General features: G+C 42.6%; 1 protein-coding gene across 6 annotated transcripts in view; it reads left to right on the top strand.

Annotated features, from left to right (window-relative positions):
• ABHD6 (abhydrolase domain containing 6, acylglycerol lipase) overlaps positions 1 to 16,670 on the top strand; it is a 56,943-nt gene that overhangs the window by 12,223 nt on the left and 28,050 nt on the right. For all 6 annotated transcript variants that reach the window (XM_005265334.5, NM_001320126.2, XM_005265335.4 and 3 more), the window contains one exon: positions 6,548 to 6,691. In XM_005265334.5, coding sequence (XP_005265391.1) covers positions 6,573 to 6,691 — 119 coding nt within the window. In that variant the 5' untranslated portion in view covers positions 6,548 to 6,572. The remainder of the gene's footprint in view (positions 1 to 6,547; positions 6,692 to 16,670) is intronic.

The raw sequence follows: 16,670 nt of genomic DNA on the forward strand, positions 1-16,670 counted from the left end.
AAGCCCTGCTTCCAAGCCCTCTGCAGGCCAAAGTGTGCTGCATGATTTTTCTGATCAGTAGGTCTAGTGGGAAGGGATTTGGCACCTGAAGGTTTTCAAAGCTCTGACGCACACCCTAAAAGCCCCCTGCAAATAGTTCTGAAAGACTATGTGGGGGAACCTGGCTCTGAATTTGAAGGGAGTCTGGAAGGCATGGGTTCATGGGCCCCAGTGCTTTCCTGAAAAGGGGACACTTGAACAGGCTCTGAAGGCAGGGAAGAGTTCATCAGGCAGCCAGACGTGGGAGTGCTCTACACCAAGGGGTCAGCAGGAAGGAAGACAGAATGAAGCTGTATGGGGCTCGCGAGCTGGTTATTTGGAGTGCAGGCAAAGACGTGGGAGTCAGGACTGGGAAGTTGAGCTGGGACTACATGGGGCGGTCAGAGTTCACATTTTATTTGGTGGACATGAGACCAGCACAGCCTGATCCCTGGTGTGAATTGAGAAGATTTCTCTGGCAGCTGGGGTGGTGGGACTATGGGGTGTGAAAGAATAGCCTTTACAGAAACAGGAGGGAGAGGAAGGGAGGACCTGGACCCAGTGTGGTGGCTGAGGGGAGCTGCGGTCCGAATCATACAAAGTCCTACACCTGGTGAAAATTTTTCTTTTTACCTTACATTCCTAGTAAATGTTGAACCCAACTGGGATTGGGTTTTTAGGTATTAGTTTTTAGGGGTGTAAGTCCCCTAAGGCTGTGCTGTCTAATATGGTAGTTCTTATCCACATGTAGCTGTTGAGCACTTGAAGTGTGGCTGGTGTGGCTGAAGAACTGAAGTTTGAATTTTCTTTGGCTTTAATCAATTTAAGTTTAAATTGCCATATATCAGGCAGTGTAGTTTGTTTAGACTTGGACAAGTTGACTCCAGTGCTGGTGCCTCTTCACCTTTGCCTAACAGGAGTGGTGAGCAAGTAGGAGAATGAAAGATGCATTGGCATCTAGGAGGTTAGACTGATGCAATTACTGTCAGCAGAAATCAGTAAGTCGGCTAGGTGCAGAAGCTTGCGCCTGTAATCCCAGCACTTTGGGAGGCCGAGGCGGGGGGGATCACCTGAGGTCAGGAGTTCGAGACCAGCCCAGCATGGTGAAACCCTGTCTCTACTAAAAAGACAAAAATTAGCTAGGCATGGTGGCAGATGCCTGTAATCCCAGCTACTCAGGAGGCTGAGACAGGAGAAGCACTTGAACCCAGGAGGCGGAGGTTGCAGTGAGCCAAGATTGTACCACTACACTCCAGCCTGGCTGACAGAGCGAGACTCCATCTAAAAAAAAAAAAGAAAGAAAAAAAGACAGAAATCAGTAAGTCAGGCGAAGCGAGGAGAGATGTGTCTATGAGATTCTATGAAAGTGTTTTACGTTGTTTATTCTTGGATTTTACTTTATACCCTGAAGACTAAGATATTGGAACTCAAGATCCCAGTTTTCAAAATCAGTGACAACATTAAAGAAAATTGTGAGATGTGCCTTACTCCTAACCCCAGATTAAACTTCATTTCCCTGATGTAATGTTTATCTGGATCCACTGACATGTCCCCTATCCAATTAATCTTTGCCACTGTATTCAGACATAAGGGCCCCCAAATGCACAGCTTGGGTGTTGAGCAGTGGCAGAGGATCCTGAGCCTGGGATGTGAGAGTATGTTTTCCCTGGTGCCAGCATGGCCAGCTCTCCTTCCTGGCATTGCCTGCTTCACACTGTGCCGCAGTGTCTTTAACCCTGGGGTGCCTCACTTTACACGATAAATAGATAAAATGAAGTGTTTTTCTTTTTCAGTGTATTCAGTCAGGCGATAAACATGATCAAGCACCAAGTCTTTGCCAGGTGATGTTTTAGGTTCTGGGAACTCTATTAGGAAAGAAGATTCTTGTGGGAGCAAGCCAAATCCTACTCTTTAATTGCCTGGCATAATTCCAGAAATGTTTAAGTCACCAAAGTAAGAAAGAACAGACATGACTATTTGAATGTTCTCATTAAATAGATGAAGAAGCCAAGGTCTCCCAGCTGATGTGTGGAAGAGCCACGATGGAGAGGGCCAGCTGCCACACTGGTGCCCCCAGCCTGGTGCCATCCATTGCACGAGTTTGTCCCTCAGTGGCAGCCATTCAAGGATGACCATCACGATTTTTGCTATATTCATGTGTCACCTACTAAGCATTTTTCTTTAAATTGACTGCTTGTTTTTTTTTTTTTTTTTTTTTTTGGAACAGTCTCCCTCTGTCGCCTAGGCTGTCGGCTCACTGAAACCTCAGCCTCCAGGCTCAAGTAATCCTCCCACCTGAGTCTCCTGAGTAGCTGAGACTACAGGCGCATGCCACCATGCCCGGCTAATTTTTGTATTTTTTGTAAAGATGGGGCCTCTCCATGTTGCCCAGGCCGGTCTCAAACTCCTCTACTCAAGCAATCTGCCCGTCTCGGCCTCCCAAAGTGCTGGGATTACAGGCATGAGCCACCACGCCCAGCTGTGGTTTAACACCACCACACTGAGAGTTTCTCTTTGACCCAAGCAGGACTGAAAAGAACTGAAAAGAGATGACTTTCCTAGTATATATGTTGTTATCTAATGCTGTGTACCCCTGAAACATTCTTTAGTACTCTCCTGCTCACTAAAGTCATCTTGCAAACTCTCAGTTGTATGGGTGCCATGCTTTGGGAAACTCAAGTTACACTTCTTGGTTGATCTCTGATTTTTGGCCATTGGCAGTTCCTGGTTCATAATGCTTCAGTTTGTTCTGCCTCCAGCCTCTCCCTGGGGTACATAGAGTACTCTAGAAATAAACACCAGCATGGCAGGGGAGCTGTCTTTTTAAAGGAAAGCTGAAGCAAGACCTTTGTAAAATGAAGGATGTTGTAGAGATAGGAATAAATTGCCTACCCTTTATCTGTACAGAAAACTCAGAATTGTGGTTTCTTCAACTAAGGTCTGGATTTATTTGACCTTGTCAGGGAGAGTGTGCAGGGTTTTCTGTAATAAGTGCAAACCTTACTAAATTGATCATGTTCTACAAAAGCTGCTTATGGAAGACTTTATTCTGCTGTTAAATAGAAGATGGAGGCAGATGCGACCTTCGCTGAAACTGACTGGCATTGTGGCAGGCACCGACAGAGCACAGAGGGGTTTTTTTTTTTTGATGATCATGCCTTCATTTCGGGGCTATCATCTCCAGTGTCAGAGTCTATGATATATATGGCTTTGGGCATAAACTGTTCTAATTCCTAGTCCAAAGGACTCCCTGCTGCTCAGTAATCTGAATTTACAGTGGCCCCCAGCAGTTTTTAAGGACTTTGTATGATGTGGAAAAGTCTTCTCAAAGCTGACAGTTCCCATCTGTGTCAACTCATTCACAGCCCATGATGTTCAAACAGATCTGTACAGATTCCCTTCAGTCTGTGATTAACTTGCTTACTCCTTGAAGGTGATGCCTTTTAGCAGGGTAAATTGTAGCCAGTGTTAAATAGGTGACTCCTTCAGGGATTTTTGTAATTACCGAAAGAGGAAAGATGTCAGGTCTCTTACAGAGTCATTGGGAATGGTTGTTCCTAAAAGAAATGAAACAGATGGAACCCATTTTGTAAATTTGCTTTTCATTGATTCATTTGTACCTTATTTGTGTCCTGTGCCATACTTGACACTGAGGAAGAACATACATGATTGTCCCTACCCTCAAGGAGCTCTGGTTCCAGAAGGAGAAGCAGGCCAATGATTTCAGTGTGCTGGGAAAATTGTTTACAGTGACTGAGAAACTGAGAGGGCAATTGCATCAGAGACAAAGACAGTGCTTATGCCCTGGGAAGGTGGCAGCTTTCATCACTGTAGACTCAGGACTGTACTTAGGTAGAGTATGGGTATGTAATGAAAAGAACCATCTAACCCACCTATGGGTGCATCTGTCTCCTTCTCCAGGCTGTGAGGTGCTTGCTAGGCAAAACCTCTTGAAGATGGAGAGCTCATATCTTCATTGAGAAATTAGGGATGTTGAATGTAGATACCTAACAGCAAAGAGGTTACAGAGACTAAGGACAGGCCATTTGAAAAAAATAAAAAATAGACAAAGTGGAGCTTGGTGCAAAGGTAGTAGATTGGAGTTAGAAATCTGTTTTGTAATCATGACTACCAGCTGGGTGACCTTGGGCAAGTTACTTAGCCTCTCAGAGCCTCAATTTCCTCAGCCTATAAAACAGGATGAAACACTTGCCTTTCCTATGTGACAGGGTTGATGTGCTATATCAAGGGTTGGCAAATTACAGCCTACAGGTCAAATTTGGCCTACAGCCTATTTCTGTGAAGTTTTATTGGAACACAGTCATACTCATTCGTTACATGTCTTCAATGGCTGCTTTCTCATCCAGTGGCAGACTGAGTAGCTGTAATAGAGACTCTGTGTCCCACAGTGCTAAAATCGTCACCGTCTGGCACTTTACAGAAAAAGTGTGCTGACCCTTGTGCTTAGTGGTCGAGAGGTTATACTGTGCTGCATTGAACTTATTATCAAATTGAATTAAGTATCAGTCGATAGAGGCATATGGGAGAGATCACTCCATTTCCCAGGAAATGTAAGGAAGGCCATGATTTGCTAGATGTTAATGCTTTTTCTTGAAGAAATCTGTATTATGTTTGGTGAGTCCTGCACACTTAGCACAGATGGCAGGGAATCAAGGCAGAGGGCCACGCCTGGCTTACAGGTCCTTCCAGGGGTTTTCTGTGTTGGAGAGAATGACTGGACTTGAAATATATATTTATTATATATTTATATTTATATACTTTATGATATATATGTGTGTATATACATATATATGTGTATACACACACACACACACACACACACACACACACATATATATATATAAAATAGAGATGAGGTCTTGCCATGTTGCCTAGGCTGGTCTTCAATGCCTGGCCTCAAGTGATCCTTCCACCTCTGCCTCCCAAAGTGTTGAGATTACAGGCATGGGCCACGGAACCCAGCCTGAAGTATTTTTCATTCTATGCTAGAATGAACTGTATTATAAGCTCATAAGACAGGACAGGGCAGGGCCTCTGATACAGCTGGAATTCTAGTGCCCCAATGGTGTGTCAGGTCTTAGTGTTGGTGCTGGGGACACCCAGTCCTTACTCTCATGCATCCCACATTCTAGCCTTCAGATGTGTAAGTCTTTAGGAAGACATCAGAAAGTACACTGAAAACTACCTTTTTGGCTTATTCTCCCTTAACTTTGTATTATGTATTTATTTTTTGAATTGGTTACATATTTACATAACAACTTAAAAGTTTTAAAAAGTGAAAAACCAAGTTTCCTGTCTATTCCTGACACTTAGCTATCTACTTCCCCACCTTAGATCAATCACTGTTACTGGTTTCTTGTATCCATGTGTACATGTATATTTGTTCATTGATTTCTTTAAAAGTCTGTCTTTTTTTTTTTTTTTTTTAAAGGTTCTCACTCCGTTGCCTAGGCTAGAGTGCAGTGGTGCAATCATAGCTTACTACAGCTTCAAACTCCTGGGCTCAAGTGATCCTCCCACCTTGGTCTCCCAAAGTGCTGGATCACAGGCATGAGCTACCATGCCCAACCTGTCCTCCTTTTTTATTTTTATTTATTTTTTATTTTTATTTTTTGAGATAGAGTCTTGTTGCCCAGGCTAGAGTGCAATGGCACAATCTTGGCTCACTGCAACCTCTGCCTCCTGGGTTCAAGCGATTCTCCTGCCTCAGCCTCCCGAGTAGCTGGAATTACAGTCACCTGCCACCACGCTTGGCTAACTTTTGTGTTTTTAGTAGAGATGGGGTTTCATCATGTTGGCTAGGCTAGTCTCGAACTCCTGACCTTAAGTGATCCGCCCACCTCAGCCTCCCAAAGTGCTGGGATTACAGGTGTGAGCCACTGCACCTGTCTCCTTTTTTATTTTTAAATACTGCAAGCCTACAGAAAGATTGAAAGGATAATATCATGTAACCTTCACCTGGATTCCCCAGTGGTTAGCATTTTACCATATTTGCTTTATTTCTCTCTCTTTTCCTCCCACCAACACACACACACACACACACACACACACACACATACACACACTACTTTTTCTCTCCTGAACCTTTAAAAGTGAGTAGCAGATACCATTATACTTCACCCCTTACAACTTCAGCAAACATCTCCTAAAAGGGAAGATATTCTCCTACATACATACATAATCACAATTTCATCATCATACTCAAGAATTGTGTCACTGATACATTGACGTTGTCTAATACCCAGCCCTTACTCAGATTTTCACATTTGTCCCAACTATGTCCTTTATAATGTTTTTTTTTTTTACAAATCCAGGCTCCTCTGAAAAGTTCCTCATTACTTTTAGTTGTCATGTCTATTTGGTTTTTTGTAAAGCACTTGCCTGCTTTGGTTTCCTCCTGTTCTTTACCCTCACTCTGGGAACTTCACTTTTCTTGTCCCCTTTACTTCTTCGCCTTTTTTCCTTTGATACAGAGTTTTAATATCGTCATTCTCTTTGGCCCCTGCAGGAGTCAGCCAGCCTGAAAGAGCAGGATGGATCTTGATGTGGTTAACATGTTTGTGATTGCGGGCGGCACGCTGGCCATCCCAATCCTGGCATTTGTGGCTTCATTTCTTCTGTGGCCTTCAGCACTGATAAGAATCTATTATTGGTAAGCCAGTTTTATCATTGATGTTTTCAAGAGTATCATAATATTGACATCTTCTCTGCTTGTCCTTTTTGTGGTTATTGTCCAACATTTTATCAGGAAGTATTTCAGACAGAGAGAAAAGTTGAAAGGTACTCATCCTGTTTGGAATTTTGGGAATGCTCTTGAAGAATATTACCAGATCAGTTCTTTCAGGTTTGTTTGTTTGTTTGTTTTTTGGAGACAGAGTTGTGCTCTGTTGCCCAGGCTGGAGTGCAGTGGGATGATCTCAGCTCACTGCAACCTCCACCTCCTGGCTTCAATCAATTTTCCTGCTTCAGCCTCCAAGTAGCTGAGATTTTACAGGTGTATGCCACCACGCCCGGCTAATTTTTTTTGTATTTTTAGTACAGATGGGGTTTCACCATGTTGGCCAGGCTGGTCTCCAACTCCTGGCCTCAAGTGATCTTCCCATCTTGCCTCTCTAAGTGCTGGGATTACAGGCATGAGCCATCATACCCGGCCCTTTTAGGTTTCTGATAGCATCTTTCTCCACCCACATTCCCAAAGTCAGTGATTCTGTCTTCAAGCAAGAATTGTACATTTTTATGGGAACTCCTTTGGTATCTTCTTGATCATTGGTTGTTTTTGTTTGTTTGTTGGTTGGTTGGTTTTTTGGGTTTTTGTTTGGTTTTTTTTTTGAAACAGTCTCCCTCTGTCACCTAGGCTGGAGTGCAGTGGTGTCATCTCGGCTCACTGCAACCTCTGCCTCCCAGGCTCAAGCGATTCTCTTGCCTCAGCCTCCCAAGTAGCTAGGACTACAGGCACGTGCCACCATGCCTAGCTAATTTTTATATTTTTAGTAGAGACAGGCTTTTGCCGTATTGGCCAAGCTGGTCTCAAACTCCTGACCTCAAGTGATCCTCCCACCTCAGCCTCCCAAAGTGCTGGGATTACAGGTGTGAGCCACTGCGCCTGGCCTTCATCATTGGATTCTGACCCTGTGATGTCCTGACAGGTGCAGCGATGTCACTGAAAAATGAACAAGAAAGACCAGAACCATTGAGATGGCATGTTTAGGACAGAATGCTTTTAGAGTTGTTCTAGAAGTGTTCATTAGTAAAGAAGTGACAGAAAGAAAAAGAAGTTTCCAAAATATGTCATTCTTGTACCACTGTTATTATTCTTGTCCTATCTGGATACCACCTGTCCTTTTATTTTGTATTTCCTTTAGAGTGAGCCATCTTTTTAAAAAAATCCTTAAATCAAGTATTTAAAAAGTGATATGAATATCACTCCCTTAAGTGAAAAGCTTGCCATAAATAGTAAATTAATATCAAAAAGTGCCTGGCGCAGTGGCTCATTCCTGTAATCCCAGCATTTTGGGAGGCCGAGGCAGGCAGATCACCTGAGATCGGGAGTTCGAGACCAGCCCGACCAACATGGAGAAACCCAATCTCTACTAAAAATACAAAATTAGCTAGGCGTGGTGGTGCATGCCTGTAATCCCAGCTACTCGGGAGGCTGAGGCAGGAGAATCGCCTGATCCTGGGAGGTGGAGGTTGCGGTGAGCTGAGATCGCGCCATTGCACTCCAGCCTGGGCAACAAGAGCAGAACTGCATCTCAAAAAAAAATATGTATATATATCAAAAAGTAAAAATAAACACAGTGACATTAAACAGTCTTATTAAATTGTATCTCCTTTTACTTTGTTACAAAGCATGAGCAGCGTGAAAGATGTAGCAGCCCTGAGCTGAGCCTTTCTCCTTGTTGGAATCAGAAGGTTAACAGTCAAAAAGAAAGTGACTTTCTCATGATGTGCTTCATTGCCTTTTCATGCCACTGTCCAATTATCAAATGAAATTGCCCTTCCCACCCCCATGGTGTACATCCCCTGATGAAGGGAGCATCGAAATAGACCTGGTTCCTCTCTGTGCTATAGGTAAGCCCATTGAGATCTAACTGGGACTTCAGGAAGTCGGAACTCACTTCTGTACGTAGAAGAGTCCAGAGAGGGTGTTATGCCCTTTATCTGCCCTCCTTTCTGGCTCCTTTTTGCTTCACTTGAGTGTGGAATTTTCCGCCTGCCAGCCAAGCTCTAATCCTTGAAACTAATTGAATGGAAGGGAGCTTTTCATCTTTTGCTCTTGCTCTCTGGGGGCGGGAGTGGGGAGTTGTGACCCCCTCCCAAGTCACCCGGGACCCACCTTCTGCACTGAGAAAGCGAGACTCACTCTGAAGCTGAAATGCTGTTGCCCTTGCAGTGCTGGTAGCAGGAGTTCTGTGCTTTGTGGGCTAAGGCTCCTGGATGACCCCTGACATGGAGAAGGCAGAGTTGCGTGCCCCTTCTCATGGCCTCGTCAAGGCATCATGGACTGCCACACACAAAACGCCGTTTTTATTAACGACATGAAATTGAAGGAGAGAACACAATTCACTGATGTGGCTCGTAACCATGGATATGGTCACATACAGAGGTGTGATTATGTAAAGGTTAATTCCACCCACCTCATGTGGAAACTAGCCTCAATGCTGCATAGTCCCCCAACAGTTCCCTGGGCTGTCGAGGAGAAGGCTTTCAGAGTAAGGGTGTTAGGGTAATTTTGATGTTTCATTTGTAATGAGAAAAATAAGTTGATAGCAAATAATTTGCTTTTTAAATTAAGTTAAAATTCACATAACATAAAAGTCACCATTTTAAAGTGTACAATTCAAGGCTGGGCACGATGGCTCACACCTGTAATCCCAGCACTTTGGGAGGCTAAGGCAGGAGGATCACTTGAGGCCAGGAGTTCGAGACCAGCCTGGCCAACATGGCGAAACCCCGTCTCTACTAAAAATACAAAAAATTAGCCAGGCATGGTGGTACGTGCCTGTAATTCCAGCTACCTGGGAGGCTGAGGCAGAAGAATCGCTTGAACCCAGGAAGCGGAGGTTGCAGTGAGCCGAGATCGTGCCACTACACTTCAGCCTGGGTGACAGAGATGAGACTCTGTCTAAATAAATAAATAAATGAAACATAAATATAAATGTAAATAAATAAAATGTACAATTCAGTGGTTTTAATATATTCAGAGTGTTGTACAACCATTACCACTATCTAATTTCAAATATTTCCACCTCCCCAAAGGAGTCCCCATACCTAGTAGCCATCAATCCCAGTTTCTCCCTCACTTCATCTTCTGGCAACCACTCATCTACTTCCTGTCTTTTTAGATGTGCCCATTACGGACATTTCACGTAAACGGGGTTATACATGTGTGACCTTTGTGTCTGGTTTCTCTCACTTAGCATAATGTTTTCAAGGTTCGTCCATGTTGTAGCATGCATCACTCCTTCACTTTCTGTTGTGGTTAAATAATATTCCATTGTGTATATATACAGTTTGTTCATCCATTCATCTGTTGATGGACACTTGGGTTGTTTCCACCTTTTGGCTATTATGAATAATGCTGCATAGCAAATAATTCACTTTTATTAACAAATAATACCACAAAAAAACCAGAGAAGCCCCACAGTGCAGAGCATTCAGAGCCTCTTTAATTGGCAGTATGGATGCATGGGGTCTTAAAGCCTGCCCATGCCTGTCACCCAGCTCAGTGCCGTGGCTGAAAGACAAACACAATGCTCTTTATTTTGTGAACTCAGGCACACAGGCCAAGAAGAAAACCCAGCTGGTTTGGGAAGATGAAAATCCTAGAAAACCTTTCAGATCATGCCAGGTGGCATTGTGACACGGGGGATTATGATTTTAGTAATAAAACCCATGATGCCATTGCAGAGAGCTGTCAGCAATCCTGTGAGGCACTTCCTCCGCATCACTGAAATGCACAGACTGCTTCCTCCAAATAGCCTCACCACAAGTGACATTTACACAGTGGTTGTCATAGAATGAGCAGCATCACCATGAGTCACTTATATCCCTTAACCACAGCGACTCCTCCAAAGGCCTTCATTTGCTCGGCTGCCAGTGATGACCACCAGTGGGTTCACCTCGCAGACCTAGGTGGGTCAGGTTAATTTTCAGGATTGCTACACAAACAGGATCAGCAGGCAGTAGAGGTAGCTTGGCACCCAGTCCCCGTTCCCCGCTGCCCTGCCATATGAGCATAAGGGTTTGGTGAAGTCATCACATCGTGCAAGCTCCTGGAGTTCCCTCTGGGATTGTCTCAGCTCCTCAGGGAACAAGAACAGGTGTCCCCAGTAGGCCACAGCAAGTCTTCAGAGCAGCTCTCTCTGGGTCTAAGTGTCCCTGGAGCATGGCCAGCACACTTCCACAACACCGTGGACTATGGCTGCTCCTGCAGGAGGTACCAAATGCTTCAACATGAGTCAACAGAGAGCCACACCGGGGATGCTGTGGCCACTGCGGATGACATCAGGTCTGATTTTCATTGTGTAATGAAAATATCAGGACTGTTCACAAGATGAGAAAGACTGAGATTTTCTAAGATTTTTGTTTTCCCAAAGAAACTCAGTTGTGAAATCAAGGTAAGAAATAATAGTGAACAGTTCACTTATATAAATATAAGAAAGAAAAGGGGATAAGAATTGGAAAAGAAGAAATAATAATAATCTGACATTGTTTGCAGATGACACAATTGTGTACATAGAAAGTCCAAAAAAAATCTATAAATAATTTGTTGGAATTAATAAGTGAATTTGGAGCTGGGTGCTGCAGCTCATGCTTGTAATTTCAGCACTTTGGGAGGCAGAGGTGGGCGATTGCTTGAGCCCAGGAGTTTAAGACCAGCCTAGGCTGCTCACTGCAACCTCTACCTCCCAGGCTCAAGTGATCCTCCCACCTCAGCTTCTAGAGTAACTGGGGCTACAGGTGTGTGCCACCTTGCCACCTAATTTTTGCGGTTTTTGTAGAGACAGGCTCAAACTCCTGGGCTCAAGCGATCCACCCACCTTGCCCTCCCAAAGCTCTGGGATTACAGTTGTGAGCCACCATGCCCGGCCTGGTTCTTTCTTTTTATTGTGGTAAAATATACATAACTTTAAAAAATGGAAAATAAGTGTTGGTGAGGATGTGGAGAGATTGGAACCCCCTATGCACTGCTGTTGGGAATGTAAAATAGTATAGTTGCTATGCACAAATTTGTCGGCTCCCCAGAAAGTTATACATTTAACGTAACATCCAGCAATTCTACTTATGAGTGTAAATCCCAAAGAATTGCAAGCAGGGTCTCAATGTGTGCACCAATGTCCATAGCAGCATTCTTTGCAATAGCGAAAAGATAGAAATAACCTAAATGTCCAACAGACAAATGGATAAACAAAATGTGGTATATACACAATAGAATATTATTCAGCCTTAAAAAGGAATGACACTCTGATTCATGCTATTAACACAACATGGATGAACCTTGAGAACAACTGTGCTAAGTGAAACTAACCAGACACAAAAGGACAAATTTTGTATGATTCCACTTTTACCCAGAATAGACAAACTCATAGAGAAAGTAGAATAGAGGTTGCTAGGGGACTGGGGGAAATGAGGAGTTAATGTTTAATGGGTACAGAGTTTCTATTTAGGATGACAAAAAGTTCTAGAAATGGATAGTGGTGGTAGTTTTACAATGTTGTGTAATGTCATTGATCGTACACTTGTTAAAATGGTAAATGTTTATGTTATGTCTGTTTTACCACAGTATAAAAAAATCTGTAAGTACTTTTCTTCAGAAGTTCCCGTTAACTAGACAGAGACATAGGATGAGGACTCTGGGCTCCAGGAGACTTTATTAAAGAGGAACCCCGAGGAGGTCCTCTTTGGGGCTTTTCTATTTAGGTCAATAGAGCCTTCAATGACTTCTGTCCCTGAAACAGGAGCAGTTTGGCTCTTGTACTGAGATTGTAAAAGATCTTGCTCCTGAGACATTCATTCATCCCACCTTAATTCTTCTCTTTGTTTCTGTTCTGTAAGGTTCTGCTTTTGTGAATTAGAGGTAATCTATTCTCTATTATCTATTATCATTAAACCAAAGAAGATTTTTTCCATCTGGGCCATGGGTCTTTCAGAATTTTTCAGCTGGCCTGGTATCTTAGAGTCATCTTCCTACTCTTTCGTTGAGGGGATCATTTGAAAATATTAGTTCTCTGGGCTGGGCATGGTGGCTCACGCCTGTAATCCCAACACTTTGGGAGGCTGAGGGAGGCAGATCATCTGAGGTCAGGAGTTCAAGACCAGCCTAGCCAACATGGTGAAACCCTGTCTCTACTAAAAAAATACAAAAATTAGAGGCTAGGCGTTGTGGCCCACGCCTGTAATCCCAGCACTTTGGAAGGCCGAGGTGGGTAGATCACGAGGTCAGGAGTTTGAGACCAGCCTGGCCAACATGGTGAAACCCCATCTCTACTACAAATACGAAAATTAGCCAGGCGTGGTGGCACGCGCCTGTAGTCCCAGCTACTTGGGAGGCTGAAGTGGGAGAATCGTTTGAAAGCAGAAGGTGGAGGTTGCAGTGAGCCGAGATCATGCCACTGCATTCCAGCCTGGGCAACAGAGCAAGACTCCATCTAAAAAATAAAAATAAAAATAAACAAAAACAAAAATTAGCCGAGCGTGGTGGCACACACCTGTAATCCCAGCTACTCAGGAGGCTGAGGCGGGAGAATCACTTGAACCCGGGAGGTGGAGGTTGCAGTGAACTGAGATTGCGCCACTGCACTCCAGCCTAGGCAACGAGAGTGAAACTCCATCTCAAAAAAAAAAAAAAAGAAAAAATATTAGTTTTCCAGTTTCTTGTTTCTGGAGCCTAGGTAAACTTGTCCAGTGGATGTACCAATTAAATGAAAAATATCGAGTAGTACCAAAGAGCTCTGTCTGATAATGAAGAAGCCCTTAATTCCTGAATCCGGCAGTCTGGCCGCCTTCCAACCCTGTGTCTCTTCATTCTGGTTCAAGTCATACTTGGCTCTCCCCGAGGCCCTTGCCTCTGCTGTCTCTACCTCCTGGCACACCTTCTCCAGCTTCCAGCTGATGTATGTTGAGTATCCAGTAGTCTGCTGAAGTTTCACCTTTTCCACCAGGTCCTTCCAGCTCTTCCATGATCTCACACTGTACTTTGTATGAGAGTTATAGAGAATTTGATGATTATAAAAACGTAACCCATTCGAGCCCCACTCCCAGTACCAAAAATAAAAAATAATAAATAATTTAAAAATAAAAAGGTAACACAAAGAAAATGTAAATTACCCATAACCCCTGGAATAATTAATTTTCTTCAATGCTTCTTTTGCTCTTCCCACCTCTCTCCCCCACCACTTCATCTGTGTATACTTAACAGTTTTTTTTAACAGAATTGGAATCAATAGTATTTAAAAAAATTGGGTCCTGTTTTTTCACTTGACATCATGTCATAAATATTTTTCCATGTTATTGAATATTCTTTGAAAACTCCATTTTAAATAATAGCAAAATAAGACATCACCTAGCTATATGGTAGTTTATCTAATATATTTCCTATTCATGGACACTAAAGTTAGTATTGATTTTTTCTAATTTAAACAACACATAACGCTGGCTGGAACACTTTAAAAATATTCTTTTTCAAAGTTTCTACTTATTTCCTTGAGACAGATTATTCTTGGAATTATACTTACTAGGTCAACAAGGGGCATGAGGTTTCAAAGATTCTTGATATTTTATGCCAGATTGCTTTCTTAGAAAGCCTGAACTTTATAACTGGTTATATAAACGCACACACACACACACACACACACACACACACACACACACACACACACACACACACACATATGCCAGGTGCAGTGGCTCAGTGGCAGGATCACTTGAGTTCGAGACCAGCCCGGGCAATACAGGGAGACCCAGTCTCTACCTAAAAAATAAAAAAATTAGCCAGGCATGGTATATGCACCTGTAATTTCAGCTATTCAGGAGGCTGAGGTGGGAGGGTCAGTTGGGCTTAGGAGGACAGGGCTGCAGTGAACCGTGATTGTGTCACTGCACTCCAGCCTGGGTGACAGAGTAAGACCCCATCTCAACAAAAAACCCCACCACTTTTCTAATTTAGAAGCTCATAAAGGGTGTTCATATTTTTTCTTTATTAATTTTTTATTTAAAAATTTGGGGGGTACATAGTAGGTATATATGGGGTACACAAGATGTTTTGATACAGGTATGCCATGTGAAATAAGCACATCATGGAGAATGGGGTATCCATCCCCTCAAGCATTTATCCTTTGAGTTACAAACAATCCAGTTACACTCTTCAAGTTATTTAAAAATTTACAACTATTATTGACTATAGTCACCGTATTGTGCTATCAATAGTAGGTCTTATTCATTCTTTCTATTTTTTTTGTACCCATTAACCATCCCCACTTCTCCCCTACCCCCAGCTACTCATCTCAGCCTCTGGTAACCATCCTTCTACTATCTATGCCCATGAGTTGCATTGTTTTGATTTTTAGATCCCATAAATAAGTGAGAGCATGTGATGTTTGTCTTTCTGTGTCTGGCTTACTTCACTTAACATAATGATCTCCAGTTCCATCCATGTTGGTGCACTATTCATATTTTTAATTACTAGTGAACTTGAACATGTTTTTTATGTTTGTTAGTCATTAATATCTTTTCTACTCTAAGGTACCTTTTCATTTATTTTGCCTAGTGTTGAATTAGGGTTTTAGCATGGTTGAGATCAATTTGTAAGCTTTTTATTTATTAAGGATATCATTCTGCAGCTGTCATATTCATTGCAAATATTTCCCCTAATTTTTCCTTTTAATTTTTGGCAAATGATGTATTTGGAAGGACAAAATCATCTTTACATAATACTAATAACTATCATGTACTGAATACTTACCATTTGCTGGGCATTGAACAAAACTTTGTACATGGATTACCTCATCATTTAATCTTTGCCATATTCTTAGTGGAATGCAGCATTTCCTCATATTATAAGATTATATAGTTAGTGTCTTATTCCATTTTGTGTTGCTACAGCAGAATGCCACAGACTAGATAATTTATAAAGAAAAGAAATTTGTTTGGCTTATTGTTCTGGAGGTTGGGAAGCCCAAGAGAATGGCACCAATATCTGGCAAGGGCCTTCCTGCTGTGTCATCCCGTGGTGGAAGGTAGAAGGACAAGAGACTATAAGAGTGAGCCAGAAGCAAGAGGGGACCAGACTCACTTTTATCAGGAATCTACTCCCTCAATAATAGCATTAATCTATTTATGAAGGCAAAACTGTCAGGGCCTAATTACCTCTTAACAGTCCCACTTCACAATGGCAATTAAATTTCAACATGAGTTTTGGAGGGGACATTCAAAGTCAGTAAGTGAATGAGCTGGGATGTGAATGGATGAACAAAGTCGTGTTATGATTTAGAATTTTGAAATACGCTTGCCTTGCTGTAAGAAGAGCTTTTAAGCTAGCCAATGCTATTATGTTCTTTACGTTTTGAGTAGGCAATGCAGTCATTAAAAAAGTTTCAAAAGAAACCAACCAGGTGCGGTTTAACCAGCTGGACGTCTGTAACCCAAGCACTTTGGGAGGCCAACGTGGATGGATCACTTGAGGCCAGGAGTTTGAGACTGGCCTGGCCAACATGGCGAAACCCTGTCTCTACTAAAAATACAAAAATTAGGCAGGCATGGTGGTGTGCACCTGTAACCCTAGATACAGGCTGAGGCACAAGAATTGCTTGAACCCGGGAGGTGGAGGTTGCAGTGAGCGGAAATTGCCCCAGCGTGGGTGACAGAGCGAGACTGTATCTAAAAAAAAAAAAAACCTGACCAAACAAACAACAAAAAAAAAAACCTTATGTATGCTCTCACATTTTTTGTATGCGGATAAAAGTAAATGAATATATATCTTCTCTCCCTCTCTGCTTATTTTACACAAAGAGTTAAGACCAGTCAGTTTAGGTTATTTGCTTTTGCAAGACTTGGCTACTTCTTTAGTGTGAAGTATCTTACAAAGTGCACCTCTGATTGAATTAATTATCTCTCATCTTGGAGGGATTCAC

The sequence above is a fragment of the Homo sapiens genome, chromosome 3 (genome assembly GCF_000001405.40).
Source record: "Homo sapiens chromosome 3, GRCh38.p14 Primary Assembly".
In the NCBI taxonomy this organism is placed as follows: Eukaryota; Metazoa; Chordata; class Mammalia; order Primates; family Hominidae; genus Homo; species Homo sapiens.